The sequence below is a fragment of the Homo sapiens genome, chromosome 3 (assembly GCF_000001405.40).
Source record: "Homo sapiens chromosome 3, GRCh38.p14 Primary Assembly".
Classification (NCBI taxonomy): Eukaryota; Metazoa; Chordata; class Mammalia; order Primates; family Hominidae; genus Homo; species Homo sapiens.
In genome coordinates this window covers 18,523,931-18,534,919 of record NC_000003.12, presented here as the reverse complement: position 1 = coordinate 18,534,919, position 10,989 = coordinate 18,523,931, and the positions used below count along the sequence as shown (strand labels likewise).

Genomic DNA, 10,989 nt, shown 5'->3' with positions numbered 1-10,989 from the left:
AGAAATGATGATTGAATGACTATTATGTCCTAGACCATGATCATCCTCTGTGTAGGAGTCCATTGTCAACATAAATGCCATCCAGCCAGCCCTCTGCTAGGTCTAATCATCTTGATTCATATTTCTCCAATCATCTTCAGTTTCTTCATGTTTCTCTTTTATTATCTTGTTTCTTGTTCTGAAGATCTGCTTTTGGTTCAAAAGCTCAGAACTGAATTCAGCAAACGTCTGACCTAGTGCAGATAAAACCAACGACCCACAATATAATATCTTGGTATGAAGACAAAAAAAGTATAAATTTTTCTAATTATAAAACTAATAAATTTTATCACCCTAAAATACTTGAAATGGTAAATTTACAAGGAAGAGAATAATACAAAATAATAAAAATCCCTCTAATCCCAGCACACAGAGATAATCCTCTTTATAATTTGTTGTAGTTCCCTCCTATGCATATTGTTCTAAATAGTTCCAGTAGACAACTTATGCATTTTTCTTTTCCACTATTGATAATTTAAATTTTTAATAAATATCATAATATTCTGTTTTATGACATAATTTAATTACTCATTCCCATGATGCCAAACATATTTATTGCAATTATTTAACATATATGTAGTTGATTCATTAATATTGAACTCAGAGCCAAAAGCACTATAATGCATGCCTGATATTCATGTTACATGAATGAAGCTTATTTAACACAAATAAGTTTGTCATTTTCCTCATAAGGTACATCACAGGGGCTTCTTCTGCTTGGAAACACTAGACAGCACTTAGTGCCTCAGTGCTATGCTAAATAAAATTATACTCAATAACGTTGCAAAGGATTCGCAGACTATTCAAGTAAAGCCTTAGTCATTTTTCTGGTGGTTGAATATGGCCTGTTATTTCTGATTGATATACACAGCTTTAAATGTATTCTTAGAAACTGTAATACTCTGTGTTTTTTTACTTTCATTTGTGTTTATCAAGGTTGCTTCAAATTTATTTCTATTAAATGTGTGAATTTGGCAATGGAAATTTAAATGACTATATTTATAAATAAGTGAAACTTGAACAGAAAATGTGTAGAATAACATCTCTGCTATAAACAATACAAATAAAAAATTTTTTTATAAAACAAAGAATGTTATGATAATACCAAAAATGAGCAGGAAGTTTATATATGCTGGAATTCAAATTAGCCAGTAAAGGTGACAATATTTGGCCTACTTAGGGCAGTTTATTTCACAATAAATTATATATTTTATATCATGCATGATGACTAAAAAAATTAGAGCTCTTATTACTCAGATTAACATTTTCAAATATAAGTATTTACTTTATCATTTTAATCAAGGCAAATATTCTCACCCCTTAGTATTTATTGAGCCTCCCACTCACCCTAGGGAACATGGCAGTGCTGCAGTTTGCTTTGCATTTGCTGAAAATGGCAATTAACAAGTCAAGAGAATTTTTATTTTAAACAAAATTGTTAACACACTGCTAATAGGTAAAATCATGTGTTCTGGGAAGTAATTTGTGGGCAAGTGGTTATGATACAAGCATTTTTAAATAGACTTCAAGGAAGGGACACCAAACTGGAATGTTGAAAAGTATGTAAATGTGGGTAATGTTGCATGGAAGTAAATCTCATCTATCATTCTTCAGAAAATGCATGTGGTAAGACGGCACTTCCCTACCTCCTTGAAGTGAGACATGTTCATGTGATTTGCATGGTCCAATGAAACCTAAGAGTGTACGTCACCTCCAGATGACAATTTGAAGAAACATTGCAGAATTTGCCATGACTTTTCCTTTCCAGTGTGATTGTGGATGCACATTTTGAGACAGAGACTTCATCTGCTGAGTTCTTGAGTGACTAGAATGAACAGTACTACTGCTACTTTGCTTTGGAAATGTGGCATGAAATCTCAGTGGTTTCAAACATAAGAAATACACTTTTACTTTTGAAACCACCGAGATTTTGGGCTTGTTACTATAGCATAACCCTAAAATATCCTAACTATTACTACCTCTATGAAAAAAATCTCCAGTTAAAAAAAAAAAACACATAAAATGTTACTTATTCTCTGAGTAACTCTAGCTGCAAAGGACCAGCTAGAATTGGGGGAGGTGGGTCTTGTGAACTGATTATTTTTTCAAAGCCTATGGATCTGCTAATATTGGAAATTTGCCTTTAACACACACAAAACTGCTGGATTTTCCTTATTCTATGAAGTAAAATCCTCCTCTTAATTAATTTTATGTTTTCTTTTTTCCAAACTCATTTACTCCACAAACATATATTTGTTATCTAATATGAGCAGGTGATCTGAAGAATTCAAAGATGAGATGAAACTCATCCTTGAGGTCTTTATCACCTAAGAATGGGGATAAAATATTTACATACATTAGTGTATAAAATAGGAAGTGAAGTCCCCCACCCATAACCCCATACTTAGGAACTGATTAATCTGCTGTATAGCTTTTTGGATTGTAATAAACATATAAACATCTTTTTCTTTTATATAAATGAAAATGTATTCTAAGTGATTTTTCTGGAACCTGATATTTTCTCACTCTTTTAGAGTATCTTTCCACATGAATACACATAAATAAACCTCATTATTTTTTAATGGCTGTCTTGTATTACATTTAGAAATGTCTCAGTTTATATATCCAAGCTTTCTATTGTGCATCTTTTTAAAAGTGTGATTACAAAGTGGATAGAACCTTCTTATTTACAAAATGCTTTTTACTACAAAACTACATATATTTATTCAAACTGAACATAATATTAAAATAAAGGAAAAGAACTCATCTAGATAGGTCCTAATTCAAAGTTCCCTAAGGGGAAAAATTGCTTGTTTGTTTGTTTGTTTGTTTGTTTATTGTTGTTTATTTAACTGAAATGTCCAATGATCTGTTCTGGACATATCCGCTATGCTTCTTCCTCATTGTTTTGTTTCCTCTTTCATAACATTCATAGGCTGGAGTAGTTCAAGCATACATCCTCCAGACTCACACTCAGAAGAAAAGAGTTTTCTATAGTCCCAGGGGCTCACATACAAGTCCCAAAACTCTCTCAGGTTTGACCAACTTTCAACTCATAACACCCTTGATGAGTCAATGTGGGTAGTGAAATTGGGTAGGCTCTTTTACCAGGCTTGGGTCTCATCTTGCATCTCTGGAGTTGAAGTAATGAAGCACCTTCTTCAAAGCATGTATGTGAGTGAGAAGGGTTTTTTTTATAAAGACAAGGAATGGTGAGTGAGCATCGCCAAAAAATAATTGACATCCTCTACAGCCCTGCTCTATCTCCCTGAACTATTAGCCCTCCCCAAAGGCTGCCACTCTTAACATTCTCGTATTCGCTCACAAATTGTCTATGCATCTGCAAGACACACACACGAGTGGAATCACACTATAGATTGCTTTTTGTATTTCATTTTTCATCAATATTCTATCCTAGGCTTTTTGTTTCAGCCCACAAAAGTCTATTTCAGGCTTTTCAATGGCTGTATAATACTTCGTTATAAGTATGTACTATAAATCATTCAGCTAATCTCCTATCTATGGACATTGGTGGATGGGGGTGTTATAATGACAAATAATGTTTCACTGAACATATTAGTATTAGTCTATTATTGCATTGCCATAAAGAAATACGTGAGACTGGGTAATTTATAAAGAAACGAGGTTTAATTGCCTCACAATTCTGCAGGCTGTACAGGAAGCATGGCAGCATCTCCTTCTGGGGAGGCCTCAGGGAGCTTCAAATCATGGTGTAAGGCACAGCAGTAGCTCACACATCACATAGCAAAAGCAGGAGCAAGAGAGAGTGAGGCGGGGAGGTGCTGCACACTTTAAATGACCAGATCTCAGAAGAACTCACCTCACTATGCAAGGACAGGGCCGTAGGGGATGATGTTAAACCATTCCTGAGAAATTCACCCCCATAATCCAATCACCTCACACCAGGACCCACCTCCAACACTGGGGATTACATTTCAATATGAGATTTGGGTGGGAACACACATCTAAACTATATTAATACTTATACATAAATCTAGATGCATTTGTTCAAGTTTATCTCCAGATTCAAATCTTAGACATAAGATTATTGGGTCAAGAGGACATTAGCATTTAAAATTTTAACATACATGTTTAAAAATAGAAATAAAATTAGAGGTTGAAGGTCTTTGCCCTCCCATCCACAGTATATGGGAATGCCTGAGTCTCATTGTATCTTTGCAGTTTTGCTCAAGTGATGGCTGAAAACCAGTATTTCATTTTTATTTTATTCTGAATGTCACACATTTTTTTATTCGCCAGATGAATGCCATTATCTGTGAATTGCCTATTTCCATGTTCATTTTCTTCTAGATACAAAATTTCTCTTATTGAGTTATTAGTATATTAAGAAAATTAGCACCTAATCTACTGCATTAACATATTTTTTAAAAACTTTTGACTCCTTTTATGCCATTTTTGTTACATTAAACTTTTTTAAAGCTTTATATATTTATATTTGTGAATCTGTTTTCTTATAGTTTCTGGATTTTGTATGTTACTTATAAATCACTTTTAAATTTACACTAAACTCACTATATTTTCTATTCCTTCAATGGCCACATTTTTGTTTAAGTCATTGATTCTTCTGCAATTGTTGTTAGTATTGGGGTGTGGTCATCATTAATAATTTGTTTCTCTCATCTTCTAGGTACATGGTAGATTGCAAGTACACACCCAGTGGTAGATTGGAGCCAGGTAAGTAGCTCTGGGCAATCACTTGTGAGTGGAAGTAAGCACAAGTCACTACAGGGTAGACATTTCATTGTCAATGCAAGAGCTTATTTTTCTCTCTGATGCAGCATCACGCCATGTTTGAGATGGTAGCTATTCCACCAGCCGTCAGCCTGGGTCTTTGAGTTATAGAATCCACAGAGGTCTCCTGATAACAAGAAGTGAAAAATAAACTTTTGTGGTATTAAGCCATTAATACTTGGTTGCTTTTTAACTGCAGCATAACCAGCTGTATCCCATCTTTTCTTTTGGGGACAGTTTTGTAGCAGATGCTGTCAGTGCCTCTCATATTACCTCCCTGTTAGCATCTGTTTCCCTTTGGCCCAACTTCCAACTCCTAGCACCAGTAGTTCTTTGTTAAGGGTGTCCTCTCACTGCTGAAACTCACTCTGCCACCTGTTCAACAGGTTGGAAGCTTCTGGAATTAATGTCTCTAGGAGCAGCTCTCAAGCAATATCTGAAGAGTGTTGGTGTATAAATACTTAGCTCCCTTACCCCTTGGGTAGGATAACTTTAAGGCAGAATAGCTTGTCTGGGCTTCAAGAGCTTTCCCTGTGGGATTATGCTTCAGTTGCTTCCTGGAACTGAAAGCTGTCTTGATAACATGCTCTTCCAAAATAAACTTTCTTTCATTCTTTCACTTAATCATTCTCCTACCTTTACTCTCTAACAAATTACTCAACCTTAAAAGCTTGTCTCAGTGTCTATATCTCAGGTAACCCAAGCTAAGTCAAATTTGAATAGCAACAGTTTGGGGACAGAGAATGTCAGGTAGAGAAAGCAGTATGAAAATAGAGGCAGAGGTAGAAAAACAAAGCATTTAAAGAATAGCAAGTTATTTAGTGTATGGATTAAACTGTATGCAAAGGGAGATAATATGGGATATAGTTGGGAAAATAGATTGGCAAGATCATGAAGGATCTTGAATGATAAACTAAGTGTTTGGGTGTTTAATTATGTGGATTCTTAGCACACTTTCATTTCTCATATATTCTCTCATATTCTCTTCATCTCTCTCATTATGGATCAAAAAGAAAAGGTCATGTTCCTGCTAAATACAGAAAAGTAAAGAGAAGCAGTAGGCAGTTTTCTTGATCATTTAATCACTCAATAATATCTATATAAGAATTAGACTATGGCAGCTGTGTATTTCTAACCTCCATCCTGCATCCCCTTGCCTTTCAGCTGAGAAAGTGTAAAAGACATTATTTCTTAACAGAATCATTAACAAAATTTCATCCCCCAAAAAGTCTGATTTAAGAAATTCGGAAACACAGGGTTATTACCTACTCATTAGGTTAAGCAAGCACAAACTCAAGAAGAAAAAAAAGGCCAACTAAGAATTCCTTAGTTTGGCATATCAAAAAGCTGAAATCTCTCTCTGGAGATCACAGGCCTTAAAAAGGCAGCATATGGTAATCATAAAAGCATTTGATACAATACAAAGGATGTAGGATTCTAGTTTCTGTGTGAGCTTAACCAAGTCATTTCTCCTCTTTGGGATCCAGTTTTTACATCTTTAAAATAATGGGGTAAGACTAGAAGAACACCTAAAAAATTTTACCCTAAAAAATTATAGGCTTCCAAATAATTGTATTTGGTGTATGCTTTATTAGTAAGCAGAACAAACACCTACCTTTAGCTGGTTCTGCAATTCTAAATTTTTGTGGCAGCTGTATATTTTCTGCTCTACTCTCTTAAATCATCTTCCTCCTCTATATTTGCCTTCCCTTCCTGTGCATTCTTTAAAATACGTTATGCAAATATTTTCCCTAACCACTGTATTTTAAGATTATGCTGTCCCTGACCTTGGGAGAGTAGAAGTTAATTTTTTGGTTGCTAATGATTGAGTCTTAGGGCTTAATAAGCCCTCCAAGTCCCCTAAGAATAAGCCCTCGAAGAACAAGAGGATAATAGCTTTAAGAAGAAAGCAAACACCTCTAAAGACACTCTAGGAGTGGGGTGGTACTGCATAAGTCAGGGAATTACCAGATGAAGCTTCAGGAGTGTAGAAATTGACAGGAATGCTGAGGGCCTTTTAGTCCAAGAAGAGCTGTGTAACAAGAGCTATCAAATTATTTGGGTGCATTATTTGGGTGCCCAGCAGTCCCACAGCAAGGGGAGAGGTTTTCTTGGGCAACAATTGCCAGTATCCAGGGATCACATCATTGGTTCTTCCTATCAACAGAGATGAAAACAATTCTCTTCAACCTCAAGCACTTAAGGTGTTGACCATCTGACAGGAAATGCACTTGACTACACTTTGCCATAACACTTTGCTTAGTGTTTAACTGATTATAACTTTGGTAACTCCATTCTCACAACAACCCAAGATGTCCATATTCTGAAGAAGATACAGAGGAGGAAAAATGGTGTCAGCCATTAGAACTCAATGTGAATTAAAACCTGGAAGAATTAATCTATGAAGATGGAATTGACTTCCAAAAATATAAAAAGCCATTCAATTATCCCATGCTTACTCACATTTGCTATTTATATTTAAGCTTTTTATTGTTGTTGTTAAATATATTTGAAATTCTCCAGTAACAAGGATATCTCAATTTTAAACTAAATGATTATATTTTAACAAAAAAGTACATTTATATAGAGTAAGAACAACTGGTATGTGCATGACCAGAAAATCACTTATATAATTCGGAGATAATATCGTAATTCTTGATGTGATGATGATTGAATTAAACATTTTTGAATACTTTTATTGGTGAGAAAAATCAAGTAAGAAATATTTTTAATGAAACAGAATATAGTGCTATTCAAATAATTGAATATTTATTTACTTACAGTTAATTCAAAGCTTATTTAATGTCTCCCATGAGAAGAGCATTTCAAGAATGTAGAGGTCTGGGCTGTGAAATTGATACCTTTCCATCATGAATTAATCAGCATCCTCCGACTTGAACGGGTGTTGGATGAGAAAGTTCAGGCTTTCCTGACCTACGGCAGCAGGAAACCAACAAACTAAAATTCTTGTGATCTATTCCCAGACTGCAAATTGAAAATTGAAACACTATTTCAAATTATAGTTTGTACTGTTTTATCATTAGCCAATATTACTCTGTATTAGAGAAAAGGAGGCTTGAGAAACTCAGAGAATAAAATCCACTTTGGCAGTTTACATGAGATTACAGCTGTGGAAGAAATTTTTCCACTATTGCTAAAGCCAAGAAAAAAAAATCTTTGTTTGTTTTTTTGTTTTTTGCAGAATTTGCAAAAACAATAACTTTAAATCAGCCATCCTGATCTACCACAGGCTCTGGGTAATTATCCCCAATAGGTCCCTTTAGTGAGTCAGTTCCTATTTTTTTCTCCAAAAGTAGTTTCTTTCTGACATTTTTATGTAGTCTTTCTGTTTGCTAAAATAATAGAAGTCTCCTATTACAAAAACATCAACAACTGTCAAGGATTTTGTTTCTCCAAGGCTCAGCTCTCAAGTCTTCTGACTTAGTGGCTAATATGGCAATCTGAATTGCGAATTTCATGCAAATCCTTCTTTTTTTACCAGATTAATGAAACAAATTAAGACTGGCCCACTGCTCTACGTAGTTGTCAAACACCTATGCTGCATACCTGAAGTCTCTTCATGAATTTCTGGAAGATTCTTTTATTTATTTATTTTTGTTCTGGTGTTAAAGAACCCAGTATAAGGCAAGAAGAAAAATCAGCTAAGGAGAACTTCTGCTTCCTGTCAAGATGGAGAAACAGGAACAGTTTACTCTTCCACCTGAAACAACAAAAAAATAAACAAAATATATGAACAATAGTTTTTAAGACACTGAGTCACCAGGCAATGCAGGATACTGAGCCCTCAGATATGTGAAACAAGTGATGTGGACTCTGTGATTCCTCTACCTTACTACCTTAAGGGAGTTTCCAGGCCAGAGAACAGGGAGGGGAACCCAGGTGGAGTGTAGAAGACTCTATGAGCTGAGGAAATGAAATGGAGGGTCTGAGGAGACCAAAACAGCTTGAGTTCACAGAACAGATTACCAGAAAAGAAAGAGCTGTGCAGAGAGAGAACTTCAGATTTCTACAAAATGTCCCTCATTCTGAGTATGGGTAAATGCATTCATGTAAAGATACTACCTACGACCAGAGAAAGGACCACCCAAAATGTACCTAGTGAGCACTCACTGGGGAGAATAGTGCCTGCCATCCACCAGGAAGACTGGAAAACCTCAAGATTTATGTGGCATTGAGTATGGTATTCTGAAGGGTCTTGATTCAGTAGTAATGAATAATTAACCCATGACTAACACTACTCTGGTCTACCTAGCAATGCCTAAAAACAAGGGTAGAAAAGATCAAACTGTTTCCAAGTAACTTAACTGTGTCCTATAATAAAGCTCAAGAATATTTATAGGAACACAAAAATATATAGCATCCCACAAGGCATAATTTACAATGTCTGGCATTCAAACAAAAATTTCCAGACATACAAAAGAAACAGGAAAATATGATATATAATGAGGAGATAAATCAATCAATTGAATCTGATTAAGAACTAACCACAGATGTTAGAGTTAGCAGAGAAGGATATTAAAATGGTTATTATAATTGTATTCCATATGTTCAAAAAGTTAAGTAAAAACATGAAAAGCATAAAAAGATCCAAACCAAACTTTTAATGATTAAAACTAAAATGTATAAGATGAAAAATATACTTTCTAGAATTAACAGCAGATTAGACATTGAGGAAGAAAAGATTAGTGAACTTGAAGGCATGGAAATAGAAGCAACCCAAAATGAAACATAGAAAACATAACTGTTAAAAACTGGACAGAGTGTTAGGTGTGGGACAACTCAAACAGCCTAATACATGAGTAATTGAAGTCATAATGGAGGGGAAATATTTGAAGATATTATGGATGAAAATTTTCCAAACTTGATAAAAATGACAAACCCACATATATAAGAAGCTTAGCAAACCCTAAGCAAAAGAAACATAAAAGAAAGAATACTAAGGCACAGAATAATAAAATGTATCAAAATGGGTGATAAATAGGAAATCTTATAAGCAGTAGAAGGAAAAGATATGTATACAGAAACAGAAATAAGGGTAACAGTAAATTTCTGTTACAAACAATGCAAAAGTAAAAAACAGTAGGGCAATATCTTTAAAGTATTGGGAGGGAAAAACTATTCTAGAATTCTATACCCACTGAAAAAAAAGTATTTCAAAAATGATAGCAAAATAAAGACTTTTGAGACATACAAAAGCAAAATAATATGTCAGTCTTGAGAAAATTGAGAAAATTGATGAAATTAATAAATCCCTAGCCAGACTGGTCAGAGAAAAAGAAGGAAGATACAAATTGTCAGTAGTAGGCATGAAAGAAGTGAAACCAGGGCAAATTTTACAAATATCAAAATGACACTAAGGGAATATTATATACAACCTTATTTGAATAAACTCTACAACTTAGATACAATGGACAAATTCTTTGAAAGATACAAACTACCAAAGCTAACTCAAGAAAAAAATTAGGTAATATAAATAGCCCTCCACTATTAAAGAAATTAAATCAATAGTTATACAATTTCCCACAAAGAAATGCGGAGGTCCAGGTGGCTTCACTTGATAATCCTACCAAAGATTCAAGGAAGAAACAGTGTCCATTCTACACAAATTATTGCACAAAATTGAAAAGGAGAGGACATTCTTCAACTCATTCTATAAGCCCAGAATTAAATGTCCAAAACAGATAGAGATATTACAAGAAAAGAAAACTGCAGGCCAACATCCCTCACGATCATTGTTGAAAAAGTTGTTACTGAAATTTGAGCAAATTAAATCCAACACCAGGTTAAAGGATAATACATCATGACCAAGTGTGCAAGGTTGGTTTAACAACAAAAAATCAATTAATGTACTCCATAATAATAAAGAAACAAAAGAAATGTATTAACTATATGATCATCTCAATAGATGTAGAAGAAAGTATTTGACAAATATCAATATACATTCTTTATTTGCTTTAAAAAAGGAATTTTACTGCCTTAAAAAAGGAACTTTCTCAACTTGATGAAGGGCTTCTATGAAAATATAGCTTAAAAAAAATAAGGAATAGCTAAGATCAGGAACAAAGCAAGATATCCACTCTCACCACTTCTCTTTCACATTATATTGGAATTTCTTGTCAATGCAATAAAGCAAGAAAAAGAAATAAAAGGTATCCA

At 34.3% G+C, this 10,989-nt stretch overlaps 1 long non-coding RNA gene across 1 annotated transcript in view; it reads right to left on the bottom strand.

The window, feature by feature from the left end:
- Nucleotides 1-4,805: 4,805 nt before the first annotated feature.
- Nucleotides 4,806-10,989, bottom strand: part of SATB1-AS1 (SATB1 antisense RNA 1) — an 84,878-nt gene continuing 78,694 nt past the window's right edge. Inside the window, exons 5-7 of the long non-coding RNA NR_125803.1 lie at nucleotides 8,380-8,533; nucleotides 7,594-7,746; nucleotides 4,806-4,939 (exon numbers count right to left, since the gene is read on the bottom strand). This is a non-coding gene — a long non-coding RNA (SATB1 antisense RNA 1). The remainder of the gene's footprint in view (nucleotides 4,940-7,593; nucleotides 7,747-8,379; nucleotides 8,534-10,989) is intronic.